Raw genomic sequence first — 21,746 nt, forward strand, 5'->3', positions numbered from 1 at the left:
TTATTTTATATGCTGAGGGTACATTTGCAGACTTGTTACATGGGAATATTGCGTGATGCTACTGTTTGGAGTATGAATCTCATCAGCTAGGTAGTGAGGATGGTACCCAATAGGCAGTTTTTTAACTGCCTCCTTCAACCTCTAGTGGTCCTCAGTGTCTATTATTCCCATATTTATGTCCATATGTGCTCAAGGTTTAGCTCCCACTTATAAATGAGAACATGCAGTATTTGGTATTCTATTCCTGCATTAATTTGCTTGGGGTTGAGAACTACAGCTGCTTCCATATTGCTGCAAAGGACATGATTTCATTCTTTTTTGCCACTGCATAGTATTCCATGGTGTATATGTATTACATTTCCTTGATCTAATCTATTACTGATGGCACCCGGGTTGATTCTTTGTCTTTGCTAATGTGAATGTAACAGCAATGAACATGCAAGTGCATGAGTCTCTTTGGTAGGATGACGTATTTTCTTTTGAGAATATACTCAATAATGAGATTGTGGGGACAAATGGTAACCCTCTTTTGAGTTAAGAAATTTCCAAGATGCTTTCCACAGTGCCTGAACTAATTTATATTTCTACCAACAGTGTATAAGTATTCCCTGTTCTCTGCAGTCTCACCAGCATCTACTGTTTTTTGTTTTTTGTTTTTTTTTTACTTTTTTGTAATAGCCATTCTGACTGGTGTGCGATTATATCTCATTATGGTTTTGATTTGCATTTATCTGATGATCAGTGAAACTGAGCATTTTTTTCACATATTTATTGGCCATGTGTATGTCTTTTTTAAAAAGTATCTGTTCATATCCCTTGCCTATTTTTAATGGGGTTATTTGTTTTACGCTTGTTGATTTAAGTTCCCTATATTCTGTATATTAGGTCCTTGTCAGATGCATGATTTGTGAATATCTTCTCTCATTCTATAGATTGTTTGCTCTGTTGATAGTTTCTTTTGCTGTGCAGAAGCTCTTTAGTTTAATCAGGTCATACTTGCCTATTTTTCGTTTTGTTGCAATTACTTTTTGGAACTTAGCCAAAAACTTGTTGCCAAAGCCAATGTTGAGAAGAGTATTTCCTAGGTTGTCTTCCAGGATTCTTATAGTTTGAGGTCTTACATTTAAATCTTTAATCCATCTTGAGTTAATTTTTGTGTATGGTGAAATCTTCCACATATAGCTATCGTTATTCCAGCACCATTTATTGAATAAGGAGTCCTTTCCTCACTGCTTGTTTTCATTGGCCTTGTTGAAGATCATATGGCTGTAGATGTGCAGATTTATTCATGAGTTTTATATCCTCATTTATTTATGAGTTTTTTGGTTACTGTAGTCTTGTAATACAGTTTGAAGTCAGATAGTGTGATGCCTCGGCTTTGTTATTTTTGCTTAAGATTGCTTTGGCTCTTCAGGCTCTTTTTGCGTTCTGTGTGAATTTTAGGATAGTTTTTTCTAATTCTGTGAAAAGTAATGTTAGTCATTTTATAGGAATAGCATTGAATCTGTAAATTTCTTTGGGCAGTATGGCCGTTTTTATTATATCAATTTTCCTATCCATAAGCATGGAATGTTTCTCCATTTATGTAGTGACACAGGCTCAAAGTAAAAGGGTGGAGTAAAATCTATCATGCAAATTAAAAACATAAAAGAGCAGGAGCCAGTATTCTTAGATCAATTATAACAGACTTTAAACCAGTAAAAATTAAGAAGGACAACTAAGGGTGTTACATAATGATAAAGGGTAAAAATCCAACAAGAAGCTTTAACTAATATGTGTATATATACACTCAACCTTGGAGCAACCAGATTCATGAAACACCTTCTTCTTGGCCTACAATAAAAACTTAGACAATCACATAATAATAGTGGATACCTTCAATATCCCACTTCCAGTGTTAGACAGATCATTGAAGCAAAAAACTAACAGAGAAACTCTGGACTTAAACTTGATGCTTTACCAATTGGACCTAATAGACATCTACAGATCACTCCACCCAACAGCCATAGAATATACATTCTTCTCATCTGCCCACAGAACAGATTCTAAGATCAACCATATTCTCAGTCATAAAGCAAGATCCAATAAATTAAAAAAAAATAAATCATACCAAGCATACTCTTGGACCATGGCACAAAAAAAATAGAAATAAATACCAAGAAGCTCTCCCAAAACTATGCAAACACATAAAAATTAAACAACTTACTCCTTGAGTAACTCATGGGTGAACATCAAAATTAAGGAAAAAATTTAAAAAATATTTGAAATTAATAAAAATAGAAACAAAATTTACCAAAATCGCTGGGATGCAGCCAAAGCAGCGTGAAGAGGAAAGTTTATAGCCCGACACATCTTTATCAAGAAGTTATAAATGTCTCAAATTAACAGTCTATCTTTGTACCTACAAAAAAAAAAACTAGAAAAATAAACCAAACCAACTCTGAAGCTAGCGGAAGAAAAGAAATAACTAAAACTAGAGAAGAACTGAATAAAATTGAGATGCAAAAATTCATACAAAGGATGGTTCAATCCAGAGCTTATTCTTCAAAAAAAAAAAAAGATTGATAGACCCCCTAACTAGAGTAATAAAGAAAAAGAAAGAGAAGATCCAAATAAGCACAATCAGAATAAACAAAGGTGACATTACAACTGATCCCACAAGAATACAAAAGGTCTTCAGATACTACTATGAATAACACTATGCACACAAATTAAAAAATCTAGAGGATATGGTTAAATCCCTGGAAGCACATAGTCTCCCAAGATTGAATCAGAAAGAGATTGAAATCCTGAATAGACTAACATCAACTTCTGAAATTGAATCAGTTATAAAGAACCTATCAACCAAAAAAAGTCCTGGACCAGAGGGATTCACAGCCATATTCTACCAGATTTACAAAGAACTGATACCAATCCTATTGAAAGTATTCCAAAAAGTCAAGAAGGAGTTCCTCCCTAACTCATTCTATGAAGCCAGGATTAGCCTGATACCAAAATCTGGCAGAGAGACAATGAAAGTAAAGAAAACTGCAGACCAATATCCCCCATGAATATAGATGAAAAAATCCTCAAAAAAAATTAGTTATTTGAATCCCACAGCAAATCAAAAAGTTATTACATCACAGTTAAGTAGGCTTTTTTCTGGGATGCAAGATTGGTTCAACATACACAAATCAATAAATGCGATTCACCACAAAAACAGCATTAAAATGAAAAACCATATAATTATGTCAAAAGAAGCAGGAAAAACTTTTGATAAAATCCAACATCTCTTCATGATAAAAACTCTCAACAGACTAGGCATTGGAAGAATATACTTCAAAATAATAAAAGCCATCTATGACAAACCCACAGCCAACATCAAACTGAATGGGCAAAAGCTTGAACCATTACCTTTGAAAACTGGAACAAGGATGTCCACTCTCACCTATTGAACATAGAACTGGAAGTCCTAGCAAGAGAAATCAGGCAAGAGAAAGAAATATAAGGGATCCAAACAGGAAAAGAAGAAGTCAAACTATTTCTCTTTGCTGATGATATAATTCTATTCCTAGAAAACCTCATAGTCTCTGCATAAAACCTCCTTGATCTAATAAACAACTTCAGCAAAGTTTCAGGGTACAAAATCATTGTACAAAAATCAGTAGCATCTCTATAGACCAACAAAGTCCAAGCTGAGAGTAAAATCAAGTAAACAATCCTGTACAATAGCCACAATGAAACTGAAATACCTAGAAATACAGCTAACCAAGGAGGTGAAAGATCTCTACAAGGAGAACTACAAAACATGTTTATTTTAAATTTCCTGAATTATTTGGCTTATCAGCTGAAAGTTACAGTGATAGCAGGTTAATCTTTGAAAAGGCAAGTTCATTTTTCATGGTTTGGCACATCGACAACACTTAATGTCAACATGTACAAACTTCCTAAGAGATGTTTATCTGGGGGTGTACCTAAAGTGAAAAAGTTTACATTAGTATTTTTGAAAATATACTCTTCTTCACCTTACATAATGAATAAAGCCAGGAAGAAGAGGAAAAATTAAGTGGGAATAAAAGAGGGAGAGGCAGAAGGAGATTCATATTTTTTTGAATGATTGACAAGTGTATTTGTCAAATTTGTATTTTTAGATCATTGTGTCAATAAGGCAAATATTTTCAGTTTCATTATGTCTTTCAATCTACATGGAGCATGAGATTCACATCAATCCATTCCAATATTTTGATAGCAAGATCATGTACACATTCAAAATAAATATTGCAATAAAACAATTTAGAGAGTGTCATTTCACAAATGGCATAAATTTAACAAAATAAGGCAATAATGATAAGGAGTTAGCAACATTTATGACCATTTTTATATATTAATTATTTTGCCAAATATTCTTTTTAATCATGGAGATACTCTGAGTAAGTAAAGTTAGATGCAATTGTAAGAAGCGGCAATGAAATTTCAAAGTGGAATATAAAGCCAAATATTTTCTACATGCTTTTATTTAACTGGTCGTGCTAATATCTAGTTGAGTCCTCAGGCTAATTTAAAACATAATGTGAATTTTGAAAAATGTAGAAATTTCCCCTAAAGTAAAAGTATTCCACATGGGCCTAAGAAGTATATGGTATATTGTCATGTTTCTGTCCATTCAAAAAAGAAGAGGAAAGAAAACCTATCTGGCCTTTTTTGACCCAAGATCTTTTAAAAACTTTTGTACAAAGGTCAAGTGAACAGAAGTGAGCTAAAGTTATTAAGTGATCAATTTTAGCTGGAGCGCTTACTGGAAATTAAAATACAGACATTTTCCTCTCCCTCTTGAAAATTATCTTCAAATTAAACGTACATTTAAATATATCACATAACCAATTTCCTCCTGGGGAAAACTAAAGGATAATTTTCAATTTTGATGCTCTTCCTTACTCGTCTTTATTTTGATGACCAATGCCCAGAGCTTATTTTTGATTATATGTTTCCTTCTATATCATATTTCAAAAAGTTTCTTTTTACAATCTCCTGAAATACTACAGGGCAGATTCAAATATGTCCCAAGCAGGCACTGAAGTTTTAATGCATTTTTATGGGAACAAGTCTCAGCCTTTCCAATACAACGTTTATTTGTCCAGAAGGATGTTAGTGGAATGCCCTTCTATTTATAGCTTTGTAAACAAATTGTTCCTATACTACAAGTATGTAGAATGATTTATAATTTTCTATTTAATCAATTACTTTATCATGTTATACAAATATTATAAAATGCATGTTGTACAGCTGAATCTTCTTTGGGAATAAATCCATTATATTTGCTAATCCAACAATATAACAAATGAAGTTCAAATGGACTATTTTAATTAACGCAAGCCTTTCTGGAGTCCAAAACAATGTTATTATTGCCACTTCGATTAATGCTGTCTTGACACAGGTTAAATAAAAATGCTTGCCGCCAGTGTTTATAATTCCGATCCCACTACTTGGAACAGCACAAGCACAAGGTAAACAATAAATATATGTTGGATTAATATATTGCAATTATTATTTTTTGTCTTTTACAAAGGATAGTTACAATGAAGTTCTAACACTACCTTGTTTTTTAGGTGTATAAGCAAATGAGGTCATTTTTAATATGTGCAAAGTGAAATGGAGAAGTAAGGGCAAGAACTCCATGGCCTAAATTTTCTAGACCAATGCAATAAGGTAAGATTTACATGAATAAACTAGATAATTTATTTATTTAACAACACGACTTTATACAGGTAGACAATTTTGGATTTAGTGACACATGTACCAATTCCTGCTTCACTTGATAAAAGATATCATTGCTCTTTCATTTCTTAATTACGAAAAAATCACTCATATGATTGGGTGTTCCCCTATTTGCTTCTTTTCAATGCTATTTCCATCTATTTCAGATACTTGATATTTAAAATTCTAAATTTAAATACCTGAAATTGTTCCCTATAGTTAAATAGTGGACTGAAACTGCTGCGAATGTCCTAATTTGGAGAAATTCATTCTACCTAGGTGAAACCCTCATTTAATTTTATTGTGTTGAATAGGGATTAGAAAACTACTGCCCATGGGCCAAATCTGGCTGCAGCTATTTTTATATGTCCCACCAGCTAAGTACATTTTTCTAAGCGGTTAAAAAAATAAAAACATGACAAATGAAAATCACAGAAAATTCAAATTACCATGTTCATAAATAAAGATTTATGGGAATACAGCCTCGCTCATTTGTTTGTGTATTGTCTATGGCAGCTTTCACATGACAAGGACAGAGCTGAGTAACAACAAATAACACACATGGCCTAAAATGTTTGCTATTTAACCCTTTATGGAAAAGATTTGTCACCTCCTGGTGTAGAGCATTTATCTCTACTTTCTATCAACATTACAGTATTGGTGTCCTCTTTAGTAGTTGCCTTTGTTCAAACTGATGTAATTTGTGTCATGTTCAGCAAGATTAGAAGGTAGGTCCCACTGCTGCAATTACAATGACTCCCCTATATTTGCATTTCACCATTAAAAAATTCTAAACAATAATATTTCTCAGATTTTTAACACTATTTACTCTTTGTGACCAATTTCTGTAATGCCAAATATAGGGACCTATCTCTAGCCTAGCAATTTCCCCAACACCAGTCTGTTAAAGGCTTAAAGGCACTATGTCATCATTGATTTAAATATTTTTTGACAAATATTGGCTGGGTACCGCATCTCATGCCTGTAATCCCAGCACTTTGGGAGACCAAGGCATGTGGATCACCTTAGGTCAGGAGTTCAAGACCAGCCTGGCCAACATGATGAAACCCCATCTCTACTAAAAATACAAAAATTAGCTGGGCATGGTAGCTGGCATCTGTACTCCCAGCTACTTGGGAGGCTGAGGCAGAAGAATTACTTGAACCCGGGAGGTGGAGGTTGCAGTGAGCCGAGATCGCACCACTACACTCCAACCTGAGCGACAGGGCCAGACTCCATCTCAAAAAATGAATACATAAATAAATAAATAAATAAATATTTTTTGACAAGTAGAATGATATGTAATTAAAAACCCACCACTGAAATACCATCAACAAATTGAATTACTATGCTCATAAGGCAAATATATAACTGAAGAATTTTCTCAGTGGACTTGCCTGGTGAACTGCATTGTTCTGAATTGTGAAAATGATCATAAGTCCAGTTCTGTAAATGTCACTGTTGAAAAGAGGAAAACTCTGGACCAGTATCAGATATTTATATTTCTTACTGAATATAGTTAATAACAGTGTATTTTATGTTTCAAAAGTGCATGAAGGGTAGATTTTAAATGTTCTCACTGTCTACCCATCAACAGTGGATTGGATAAAGAAAATGTGGTACATATACACCATGGAATACTACACAGCTATAAAAAAGAATAAAATCATGTTTTTGAGGCAACATAGATTCAGCTGGAGGCCATTATCCTAAGTGAATTAACATAGCAACAGGACACCAAATACCACATATTCTCACTTGTAAGTGGGAGCTAAACTTTGGGTACTCATGGACATAAAGATGGCAACAATAGACACTGGGGACTACTAGAGTGGAGAGGAAGGGAGAGGGGCCAGGGATGATAAGCTAACTCTTGGGTACTATGCTCACTACCTGGGTGATGCAATCAACTGTACTATTTATCATTTACCATTTCCCATCATGCAATATACCCATGTAACAAACCTGCACGTGCAACTCCCAAATCTGAAATAAAAGTTGAAATTGTTTTTTAAAAACTGCACACAAAATAGAGCAAACAAGGCATTATGTACCTTTATGATACCATTACGTACATCATATCCTGATGATGAGAGAATACACTACTACCTATGAAGCAGTCTTACCAAAATAGCCAAAAAAAAACTTCTTACCACAAAGAAAAAGCATGTGCAATGGTATGTTAATTAGCCTGATTTAATTAATGTATACAATATATACATGTATCATAACATCACATTGCACCCCATAAATATATATGATTATTACTGTCAATTAAAACTAAAAATATTTTTGAATGTAAAAAAATTAAACTAATGTGGATAGAAATAAGTATTAAATAAGACTTACTAGAGTAATTATTTATTTTTTAAATGATGAGGTATCAAAATGCATTAAGGAAAATCTAAATAATTATATTTACAAATATGAATCATAAATTAATTGTAAAATAGGCAAATACTTATCTGATTATATGTGAAAATGGACTTTCTAAACAGCTTTTGCTAATAAGTAAGAAAAATATAAGCCACCTGGACAAAAATAGACAAAGGGAAGTATAATACTCAGTATTATTTTCTGTACAATGATGCACATTAGACTGAAAAATATAAAACTGAAGTTTCTAAGAGTCAAATATATTTGTTCATCAATAATTTCATATGGCTGATTCTATCACCTAATAGGGGCAGCCTGCTAAAATTTCTGAAAGGATGTGTGAAAATAATAACCTCAGATATAGCATGCCCTCATTTATTTTGTTTTAGAAAAAATAAGAAAATTAAGGAAAGGCTTACAATTTCATTACAATGACTCCATCCACACTGTGTTTAAAAATAACTGATTGGACAAGCCTAAATATTCAACAATAGTGTAAGGATTAGATAAATTATCAAATATCTTTATAGTAGAAGTCTATGTAGCCAATAAAATCAGTGGGAGAAAATTTGATCCTACTAGACCACCAGGAAGTGCTGGGAGGGTGGTAGGAAATGTCTCCTGTTTTTCTGTTCAGTAGCCTGTCCTTCAAATTCTCCTTCTCTAGTCACCCCCACTCTAACATGGTCTTGCTCCACCATGGGGATACTACCTGACTAATATTGCTCATAAGATAGCAAAAAAGAAAAAGAAGAAGCTGGTAAAAGCAGAGTAGGTAAGCTCAAACTCACAAACTCATTCACACAGCTCAGGCAGCAGAGCAATTTCATCACAGCAGAGAGAAAGAGGAAGGAAGAGTCTGTGACGTGAAACTGTGATGGTAAGATTCTGGACCAAGGGAAAAGGGAAAAGAACCACAGAATAGCTCAGGGATGGTGGAGGTTGCGAGGGAGATAGAGTGTAGGACTTTATGGCCTGAAGATGAGCTCTGGATGGGATAAATAATAAATATAAATCTTTGGAAGTAAAGACCAATGTAGAAACCACTTTCGGTCACTGGAATTTTTTATTTAAATGTTTACAAAACATGAATGTTTCATAATGAAACATGAATGAAATTGTTTGTTTACTTAAATGTTTATGAAACATAAAAATAGTTTGCTATATTGAGATATTGTCTTGCTTTAGGATATTACCTAGAAATATTTCACAGTATTTAATATTTTCTTTCCATGCCTAAGGTGCTAATAAATAGAAAGGCATTTGTAGTTTTTAGTTTTATTTGCCCTTTGAGTCAAGGGATTTCTAAACATTTGAATCTTTAGGTTTCAAAAAACAGACATGGAACATTGCCCAGTAGTAAAGTATAATAGTAGTAATGGTAGTTATAAAAAATAGTGATAAAACAAAATTTGTAATCAGTTAAAGAGAGAGGGTTATTTGTCATAATAGTCTTTGCAATGAATTATAATGGTTTTTTATTTCAAATAGGAGATTGTGATGATAAAAAAAATTCTAAAATTAGTTTATATTGTTCCATACCTGAATAACAATAAAGGATATAGTAAAACTTCACTTAGGTAAGAAAACAATTTTTTCTTTCTGATAATACCATGGATTGCTTTTGGAAACAAATGTATGCCACAGAATAAGATAAATGTAATATAATGTTAGAAAGGAAGAAAAGAAACTGGAGTTAAGGAAAAAACATATCCTTTTAAGACACAAATGTGAAAAATTCTCAAAATGCTTATAAAATATCCTTAAAGCCCAACTTCACTTGTAACATTTACTGTGGAAACAAGGACCAGTTTTCTTCAAGTCTTAGGTTTTCATGAAGCGCTGCCTGAAATATACTGCAGTGGCCCAGTCCCCACAGCATGGACTTAAAGGAAGACCCTTCTCTGAGTTACAACTTCTATGATGTCTTTCCTCCTGAAAGATGAAGAAAAGCAACTCAGTAAGTCCGAAGTGGAACTAAGCTGTTAAATAATAATTTCACTATATGCAGTTAAATAGGCAAGGAGGATTGTATTCAAGACTATTGCAATAGGAAAAAAAGATTGAACTAAACTCCCTGAAACAAAAGGAAAGAGGGTTTTTAAGTGCTGGTGTGAGCTGCTAAAAAAATGTTGCAGAACTGTAGGGGCAAAGCTGGACAATGTGATTAGGCCATTTGTGATTGCTAATTGCTGCTTTCAGAAGTTAGGCTCCTATACTCCCAGACACTGGGAAATAGGGGTGCTAGCTCTCCTAATGACTACATATTATAGGAATGACTCCCAGGTCCTTAAGAAAGACATTCCTGGGATATAGAAGATTTAAATCTCAAAGAAGCAGAGAAAGAATTTACAAGTTTTCTAATGTGAATGCTCTGTAAAGGGAGGTCAGGGGTCTATAATTTGAAAGAATTCTGTCTAAAGTATGGTCAAGCTGAGGGAAAAGTTAAGCTGCCTTGGTTAGCTGTTTCATGTGACTTATCAGCACAACACTTGGCCTCCCAATTTATCGCGGTGGAGAAATTACCCAATAGAAGACAGACAAGCCTAGAGTTACAGGTGATACATGCTGGCATGGTGCAATGATACCTAACTCCTTCTTAAGTTCTCTCTATATGTGTTAAAAAGCAATGTCACAAGTTAAATTTAACCACAGTCTATATGAAATACCAATAATGCAATAATGGATAATGATAACTTTTAATATTCAGAGGCAGGAAACCAAAACTGTACTCTGTCTCTAGTCTTATACCTGCCACCAACATACATTTTTTTTTCTAGCTCAATGGCTTGAAGAAGGGGCATTTGAAGCCAAGTATTTTTCCTTTTATTCCTCCTGATTAACTCTAGAGAACCCTTTAAACAATTTTCCTTGCTTATTTGAATTTTGACTTCAAATGCTTTTCATGACTTTAACTAACAATCATGGAAATATTGTCTACTCCAAGTAAACTGTAACTGAGGACTTGGCCTACTTGTTTATCCAAGGTCCCGCTCAATATCTATATGAGTAAATAGTGTAAGGAAAAAATTGTTTCCTGAGGAATTTTGTTTGTTTTGTTTTGTTTTTTACTTTCTGGAAGAATAATTTTCCAATGCAGAGACAGTACAACTAAATAAATAGTTAATCCTTCAATTCCTGGAGCTAGATTCATGGGTAGGAATCCCAGCGATAAAACTCATGGCTGTGTACCCTAGGCTAAGTTACTTCATTCTGTGCCTGTTTCCTCCTATCTGAAATAAGGTCATCAATAGAACTTACCCAACAGAGCTATTGTGACAATAACATGAGTTAAGGCATGTAAACCTTCAAATATGGTAAACTGGTATATTGAAAGCCTAATACATGGTAAGCTCATATACTTAGCATCATTTATTCTCTTTCTCTCTTTCTTTTTCTCTTTCTCTTCTTCCCTTCTTTTACCCTTTCCCTTCCTTTCCTTTCTATTTATATCTCTCTTTGTTTTACTTGTGTTGTAAGAAAAGTCACTGCTTAACCATAGTAACAATGCAGACTCTCACATAAAATACTTAGAAAAGTAATTCATTCATAGTAAATGCTAAGTAAGTGCTGCTGTTGGTATTATTTTCTTTATTCCTAAAACTTGTATTTCCTATGTGGACTTGGGGTTTATTACCCACATTTCATGTGTTTTTTATTGTAGGTTCTTCAAGTGTTTCATAAGACTTCAAAGTAAAATATAGATAAAATAAACTATGGCAGAAAATAATTCTCCATGGGTTAGAGGTCAGAAATAACTGTACAAGTTTCTGTAAAACTTACAAGGCACTAAAAATCTTAGAGTCTCTACTCTCTTGAAGTGTATACATTAAGAAGAAAACTTTATAAAATGAAACATAGTACTATGCCCCTAGCACATAAATACCGAGGTTCTGGAATTTTTTAAAGAAATAAATTTTAGTAGCATAATGCAAAAAGTGTATTATGTATCTTTGATAGTAGACTATGTGCCACATGCACAATTTCCTGTAAGTTATTTTGAGTTAAATAAATGTTTGAAATGAATAAGAAAGCATGAAAAAAATATGACAAAGCAATGGTATGCTAAGGATACTGAATAAAATAGAGAAGATATAGATTCTAAGTACAGTCCTGCCAATGGATAATTTGTTATGAATTCCCAGGCAAAACACTTTCTCTTTTTGTATCTTATTTTTGTGTCAAACAATGATAACAACACCTGCTCTGCTTACCCAAAGGGATCTTGTGAAGATCAAGTGAGACTATGAATGTGAAAACCATGGTAATACACTATACAAACATATACTAAACAAAGCAGTATACTAACATAACTAGTAGTATAATTAGAAGATTGCATTTTCAAAATGCACTAAATGAGTTGCAGTACCTTAAAAGTCTACAACTTTAAAGGAAACAGATGGATAAGAATAGCTCTTAGATGCCAAATTTACCATGCTGTGTTTTCTTATAGGTATGCCTGAAAATGGGATCTAAAAAGAAATTACGAAATAAAATATCAGGTGTCCAATAGTAAATTGAGAAAAAAGACTTACTGCCATTAAAGCAAAAGAATAAAAAATAAACCTAATAAACTATAAACATATTTATCAAATTCATTTATGAGTATTCACAGTAGTAGAGAATTCAGAGGTAGTATTTACCATAGAGTTAAAATTTGGGTGCTCACTGCTTGATATTGTCAATGTAATTAACCTTAACTATTTTTGTTTTGTACATACTGGTCCTTAATCATTTCCATAAATGTATTTCTTCCTTATTGCTATAATGCCCTTTCCACTTTTAGTTGATGAGAATGTTCATAAATGTTTTGGCTTCTACCGTCAGATGGAAAGATCTCTTATCTAATTGGCTGTTTTTACAGTATCTCTTAATTACAACTGGTTCTTGCTTGTAATTTCCATTCCATCAGTTTCCTTTCTCTCAATTGCTTCCTATTTATGTCCTATAGACTTTATGAACTTAGAGTCATGTTTATGATACTGAATGGTTATAATGTCTCTTAGAATTAGTGGCAGTAGATTTTTCTAGGTGATGAACTGCTCAAATTATAAATGCCATTTGAATTTAAAATATTCTGGAATTATTATTGAAAAATTATTATTACGACAAGGAATTTACCAGCCAATTGTAAGCACATTATATGTGGGTTAATTCTAAAGTTGCAGGGAAGAGGAAGGGGATGTTTGTTTGCTATGCATATTTAAACATCATAAAAGAGTATGATTGTCAAAAACAGATGCTGTCTTCTTGCATAAATTATAAATCATAGGTTTTATAAATAGTTTAAGTATTAGGAAAATTGTGATGGTAAAAGAAATAAAACTGGGACAAGATAATAGGCACATTTCTGAAATATAGAAGACTGAGAGTGCCAGGTTAGAGAAGCCTGCTAGATTTGTGTATGTTCTAACATAGAATAAACAAATATTACAGCTCATGTACAGGAGAAGAGGTCCTGGAAAAGCCTGTGGCATAGGCGGAATCTTTTATTCTATGAGTAAGCAGAAATAAAGATGTTAAGCTTTTGAATTATTTTTTCATTAGCAACATTTACGTTGCCTCATGCTTCTGACTCAAGTTCACTATGAGATGGAAGATAATGTATATGAATAACAATTTTGCAATCATTTTGCTGCAGATCTGGGCAATTGATTTCTTTTTCATGACATGAGAGGAAGAAATAAACCAAAATCAGATTTTTGTTTTCTGACAAAGTTCTTAGTGCATGCATGTGTGGCTGTGAGGATACTAGAATATGAGCAGTAAGATTTGAGAGAATGTTGTTTCCTCCACTTCCTTTCAAACTAACCCTGCCCTGACACCCATTCCTTACCCAGAAAATATAAGTGAAAGTGACAATTATTTCATAAAATCTGAGTAAGGTTTTACTCTCAGATTTTGCTCAAACAGAAAAGCTTCAAAAGACAGTGGAGGAGGTTGTGTGGTTAGTAAAAGAGTAAAAAATCCAAGTTGAATTTGTAACCCATAGGTATGGTGTAGATAATGATGATGAAAGAAATAATGAAAGAGCTAGCACTTAGTGACTAGAAAGTGAGAGCTTACTATGTGCCATGCATGGGCTGTGCAAAATGTGCTATTCTGCAACCCCATGTAAATATTGAATATATTTTACAGGCTATATTTTAAATTAAGTCACTCTAAAACTAACCTCCAATTTTGGTGAAAATCTATGTAAACTTTTTTTGGTGCAATGATAGACAAATGGACAGAACTGGCATTTTATTCATATGGATATTATTTTCAGTTTTAATACCTAAAGTTAGGGTCAAAAAATTAAATTGTAAATAAAGGAAAATAAATTATTTTCCTTCAGTGAGCCAGGAACTTAGTTCTAACTCCACAAGTGAGGTATTTTCTCTCTCTTCAGTCACATGGGACCCGTTTTTTAGCTTTCCAATCTAATGGATTTCTAGTGGCCTTCCTACGCACCTAGCTATAGAAGAAGTGAATTAGGCAATAGGGAAAACTCAGCTCATTAGGATCCAATGTGCTGTACTCAGAATTAAATTAAATAGTCTCACCTCATCAAACTTAAGAATCCACTATAACACAGACACTGATGAACAAAAGCCATTGTTTCACAATAGAAGATGGCTCTATCTTCTGAATTTTGAATGTACACAATATAACCTCTTTCTTTGATGTTTCCAGTTAATTCACAAGGTCATCAGCATTCTACAAAAGTTGCATTCAAGAGTGTCCTGGGACTGGACTGTTCAACATATTTCAACTTACTTCTTACCAGGTTTCAACCAACTGATTCTCCAAATGTGCCTCTGTGCTTAGACTGTAAAACAAAAAACACAATGCAAGATGGAGCTAAGGAAACAGTAGAAGTGAATCAGGGCATAGAGAAAAATGTTAAATTAGAGCTTGTTCAGAGTTCTATTTATTTCTTGAAATAAATTCATATGATTAAAATTCTGGAAAATAGAAAAGTGCTTTTTTTTTTATTTTGTAGCCATTTGCCAAAAAATGATAATTAAAGTCACTGAAAATAATTAGCATACTTAAGAGGAAAAATGACTAACTGGAGTTTTCAGATGAGTGTCAAAATGAGAAGCTTTCAAACCACATAATGAGAGAATTCAAGAAAGTAGGACTGTTTTTATAAGACAAAAGAAGAGTTGAAAGACAGCAAAGACTTTCTTCATGGGGTAACATTTTGAATGAGAAATTAGATCTATTTTCTTAGACTCTACAAGTAAAACTGGAACAATTTGCAGACAATTTCAGTATAATTCTCCAAGTATTTGGTGATTGGATGTTTTTAAGCAGAGAAAACTATTCTAATGTGATAATATTGTAGAAAAAATCCTTTTAGAAACATTGTTTTTGAAAAACACCTGGGGTTTGCCCATTTAATCATGAAAATACTTGTTTATTTTAATTCCTTGATAGAAGCATTACAAATTTCTGTTTTGAAATTTCTGTTTTTGTTGTGTTTGATGAACCACATTAACAATTTGATGGTTTCAGGAGGATGCATTTTAATAATAACCACATGCTGTATGCAGTGACACATTCAGAACCCATGTCAATATGCCTGTTGCTACACCCAAAGTCTCTAAACCATATGTTTTGGTTGGTTTGATGCTTTTATTAATTTTGGGGTATTTTTCTACTGTATTAGTCCATTTTCACACTGCTATGAAAGATTGAATAATTTACAAAGGAAAGAGGTTTAATTGACTCACATTTCTGCATGGCTGTAGAGGCCTCAGGAAACTTACAATCATGGCAGATGGGGAATCAGGCACCTTTATTGTGAAGAATGAGGTGACAGGAGAGAGAAGTGCAAGCAGGGGAAATGCCAGATACTTATAAAACCACCAGCTCTCATGAGAACTCGCTCACTATCACAAGAACAGCATGGGGAGACTGCCGCCATGATTCAGTCACCTCTATTCCTCCACACATGTGGATTACAATCTGAGATGAGATTTGGGTGGGGATAGGGTTACAGAGCCACACCATATCATTTCACCCCTGGCCTGTCGCAAATCTCCTGTCTTTTCACATTTCAAAATTAATAATGCCTTCCTACAGTCCCCTAGTCTTAACTCATTCCAGCATTAACTTAAAAGTCCACATCCAAAATCTCATCTGAGGTAAGGGAATTCCCTTCCACCTAGGAGCCTGTAAAATTAAACGCAAGTTAGTTACTTTCAAGGTACAATGGAAGTACAGGCATTGGATAAATGCTGTCAGTCCAAATGGGAGAGATTGGCCAAAATAAAGCAGCTACAGGCCCCATGCAAGTCTAAAATCCAGCGGGACACTCATTAAATGTTAAGTCTCCGAAATAATCTCCTTTGATTCCATGTCTCACATCCAGGCCATGCTGATACAAGGGGTGGGCTCTCACAGCCTTGGGCAGCTCCTTCACAGGCTGGCATTGAGTGCCTGTGGCTTTTACAGGGGCATGGTGCAAGCTGTCAGTGGATCTACCACTATGGGGTCTGGAGGATGGTGGCCCTCTTCTCACAGCTCCACTAGACATTGCCCCAGTGGGGACTCTGTGTTGGGGCTCCAACCCCACTTTCCCCTCTGCACCACCTTAGTAGAGGTTCTCCATGAGGGCTTCACCCCTGCAGAAGACTTCTGCCTGAACATCCAGGCATTTCCATACATCCTCTGAAATCTAGACAGAGGTTCCCAAACCTCAATTCTTGACTTCTGTGCACTGCAGGCCCAACACCACATGAAAGCTGCCAAGGATTGGGGTTTGGATCCTCTGAAGCAATGGTCCTAGCTGTACCTTGGCCCCTTTTAGCCATGACTGGAGCTGAAGCAGCTGGACTCAGGGCACCATGTCCAAGGTGCCCAGAGCAGTGGAGTCCCTGGGCCTGGCTCACAAAACCTATTTTCTTCCTAGGCCTCTGGGCCTGTGATGGGAGGGGCTGCCACAAAGTTCTCCGACATTCCCTGGAGACATTTTCCCTATTGTTTCGGTGATTAACATTTGGCTCCTTGTTACTTATGCAAATTTCTGCAACCAGCTTGAATTTCTCCCCAGAAAATGTGTTTTTCTTCTTCTATTACATTGTCAGGCTGCAAATTTCCCAAACTTTTATTCTTTGCTTCCCTTTTCAATATAAAGTGACAATTTCAAACCATTTATTTGGGTATGCATAAAACTGAATGCTTTCAAAATAATCCAGGTCACATATTGAATAATTTGCTGCTTAGAAATTTCTTTTACCAGGTACCCTAAATCATCTCTCCCAAATTCACAGTTTTCATTTTACCAGATACCTTAAATCATCTCTCTCAATGTTCCACAGATCTCTACAGCAGGAGCAAAATGCCACCAGTCTCTTTGCTAAAGCATAGCATGAGTGACCTTTACTCCAGTTCCCAATAAGTTCCTCATCTCCGTCTGAGACCACCTCAGCCTGGACTTCATTGTTCACATCACTATCAGCATTTTGGTCAAAACCATTCAACAAGTCTCTAGGAAGTTCAAAACTTCCCCACTTATTCCTGTCTTCTTCTGAGCTCTCCAAACTGTTTCAACTTCTGCCCATTACCCAGTTCCAAAGTCGCTTCCACACTTTCAAGTATCTTTCTAGCAGTGCCCCACCATCTTCAGTACCAATTTATTTTACTAGTCCATTTTCACACTGCTATAAAGAAATACCCAAGACTAGGCAATTTATGAAAGAAAGGAGTTTAATTGACTCACAGTTACACATGACTGGGGAGGCCTCCAGAAACTTACAATCATGACAGAAGGGGAAGCAGAAACCTTCTTCTTAAGGCAGCAGGAGAGAGAAGTGCAAGCAGGGGATATGACAGATGCCTGTAAAACCATCAGATCTCATGAGAACCCACTCACTATCATGAGAACAGCGTGGGGGAAACCATCCCTATGATCCAATCACCTCCCTCCTTTGACACATGGGTATTACAGATCCCTCCCTTGAAATGTGGGGATTACAATTCAAGATGAGATTTGGGTAGGGACACAGAGCAAAACAATATCATCTATATTTTCACATTATGACTCGTTCTGTATCTTCTATAGTGAGTATGTAAACCAAGCACAAAACTTGTTGAAGATAAGCAAACACAAGCTAACAGAGGAATTCTTCTAACAGTAATACAAACACATTAACTTGAGAGTGCCTTGAACTCAAACTATGTAGTTCCTATGGGCATAAATATATTTAGCAGACTATGCAGTCTACCCAGGGTAATCTGTTATAAATTTCTAATTCAAACTTTAGGACTGGAAAAAGCCTTGAATAATCCTGATTTATCTTCCTTTTTTTTTGTTCTGAGTATATTTTTCTATTTGTCATACTCTACTTTTTCCTTTGATAGAGTATTAATTACTTAAACCTAGCTTTTATCGTTATTTGGGAAAATACTTAGTCTTGGCTCATAAGTTTGTATGAAGTCTACTTTAAATACATTTTTTAATCAATTGCATTTAAAAGAAGTAGCTTATTATAATCTGCCAAATCCTAAAACCTGCTGTTTACCAGCTACCAGGCAATTGCTTCTCTTCATATTTTGGTGGCCTGTGGCTTTCCTTTGCTCTCCATTCTGTTTCCTCTATGTTCTCCTGCCTAGCTAGTTAGTTGCCTTAGTGCTCTGACCATATTGGGAAAATAGGAGGTATTTTTTGTATTACTTTTTGGAGAGAAGAATAAACACTTTTAAATTCAATTAATGCTGAAAATAATATGTAAGGAAATGGATACTGCAATACTTCCTTTGTAAGATTACACCCTGTTCATAATAGCTGAGATCTTTACTCCTTAACTATTTGATAGACAATATTTACATGAGTTACAAATGGACTTTGGAGCAACAGTTATAGTAGCTAGGGGTCATTTAAAATTCCCTCCTGGTATTGAGGTTTTCTTCAATAGGGTGTATTGTAAGATATCTGATTTTCTGATTAGGGAGATATGCTGTGCCAGTGATGTAGTTCATATAATTCAGGAAAAAAAATGAATGAAAATGATAGACCATTAAAAGACCGGAAATGAAAGAAAATTAAATTGTATAAATAGATTCTTATCATAGCTTCCCAGCCAGGAGAAACACAGCCACCAAGAAGATGTAGTAAAATGCTCTGTACTTTTTAATTCAGTCACATTTATTAAATATCTAGTATGTTTCAGGGACTATCCTTAGGTGTTATACATTATACATAGGATGCAAAAAAATGGATAAGACTCAATGATTACACAAGTTGAGAAAGATAGTTAGGCAGGATGATAATTCAATGATTACAAATATATATACACACACGCACATATATATGACATTAGTTCTAAAACCCTGAACAGACCAACGAGTTCCAAAATTGAATCAGTAATAAAAAACTACCAACCAAAGAAGCCCTAGACCAGATAAATTCACAGCCTTATTCTACCATATGTACAAATAAAAGCTGGTACCAATTCTACTGAAACTATTCCAAAAAATCAAGGAGGAGAGAATTCTCCCTAACACGTTTTACAAAGCCAGCATCACCCTGATACCAAAAACTGGCAGACAACAACAAAAAAGAAAATTATAGGCCAATATCCCTGATGAACATAGATGCAAAAATCTGCAACAAAATACTAACAAACTGAGTCCAGCAGCACATCACAAAGTTAATTCACCATGATCAAGTAGGCTTCACCCCTGAGACAGAAGTTTGGTTCAACATAATGCAAATCAACACCTGTGATCCACCACATAAACAGAATTAGAAACAAAAACTATACGACTATCTCAATAGAGGTAAAAAAGGCCTTCAATAAAGTCCAACATCTCTTCATGATAAAAACCCTCAACAAACTAGGCATTGAAGGAACATACTTCAAAATAATAAGAGCCATCCATGACAAACTCATAGCCAACATCATACTGAATGGACAAAATTAGAAGCATTCCCCTTTGGAACTGGAACAAGACAAGGATGCCCACTCGCCACTACTCTTCAACATTGTACTGGTAGTCCTTGCCAGAGCAATCAGGCAAGAAAAAGAAATAAAGTGCATCCAAAGGAAAAGAAGAAGTTATACTCTCTCCATTGATGATATGATTCTATACCTAGAAAGCCCTAAAGTCTCTGCCAAAGGGCTCTGGGAACTGATAAACAATTTCAATGAAGTTTCAGAATACAAAATCAATATACAAAAATTAATAGCATTTCTATACATAAATAATGTTCAAGCTAAGAGCAAAATCAAGAACACAACCCCATTTATGATAGCCACAAAAAATAAAATGCCTACAGATATATCTAACCAAGAGGATGAAAGATCTCTGCAAGAACTATAGAACACTACTGAAAGAAATAAGAGAATCTGAGCAAATGGAAAAATATTCCATACTCATGGGTAAGAAGAATTAATATTATTAAAATATCCATACTGCCAAACTAATCTACAGATTCAATGTTATTCCTATCAAACTATCCATGTCATTTTTCACAGAATTAGAAAAAAAATTCTAAAATTCATATAGAACCAAAAAAAGCCCAAATAGCCAGAGCTTTCCTAAGCAAAAAAAGCAAAACCAGAGGCATTACATTACCTGATTTCAAACTATACTATAAGGCAATAGTAACCAAAACAGCATGGTACCGGTACAAAAACAGACACATTGACCAATGGAACGAGTAAAGAACCCAGAAATAAAGCCGCCACACACCTACAGTCATCTGATCTTGACAAAGATGACAAAAATAAGCAATGGGGAAAGGATTCCCTATTCAACAAATGTTGCTGGAATAGCTGACTAGCTATATGCAGAAGAATGAAACTCAAACCCTAACTTTCAAAATTATACAAAAATTAACTGAAGATGGATTAAGGATTTAAATATAAGACCTCAAACTATAATAACCCTAGACAGAAACCAGGAAACCCCATTCTGGACATCAGTTTTGGGAAATAATTTATGATTAAGTCCTGAAAAGCAATTGCAACCAAAACAAATATTAACAACTAGGATCTAATTAAACTAATGAGCTTCTGCAAAGCCAAAAAAAAATCGATAAACAGACAACCAACACTAACATAATGGGAGAAAGTATTTGCAAGTATGCATCTGACAAAGGTCTAATATCCAGAATCTGTAAAGTATGTAAATAATTCAACAAGCAAAAAATAAATAATCCCATTAAAAAGTGAGCAAAAGACATGAACAGACACTTCTCAAAAGAAGATATACAAATGGCCAAAAAACATATGAAAAAATGTTCAACAGTACTAACCATCAGAGAGATGCAAATCAAAACTAAAATGAGAAGCCGTCTTACCACAGTCGAAATGGCAATTATTAAAAAGTTAAAAAGCAATAGATATTGGTGAGGCAGTAGATAAAAGGGAATGCTTATCCACTGCTGATGGGAATGTAAATAAATTAAACCACTGTGGAAAGCAGTTTGGAGATTTCTTGGAGAACTTAAAACAGAACAACCATTTGACCCAGGAATACTCTTTCTGGATGTATGTCCATGAGAGAATTAATTATTCTATCAAAAAGACACATGCACCTATATGTTCATTGCAGCACTGTTTAAAGTAACAAAGACATGGAATAAACCCAAATGTCCATCAATGATTGATTGGATAAAGAAAACCTAGTACAAATACACT

The sequence above is a fragment of the Homo sapiens genome, chromosome 6 (genome assembly GCF_000001405.40).
Source record: "Homo sapiens chromosome 6, GRCh38.p14 Primary Assembly".
NCBI classification, from domain to species: domain Eukaryota; kingdom Metazoa; phylum Chordata; class Mammalia; order Primates; family Hominidae; genus Homo; species Homo sapiens.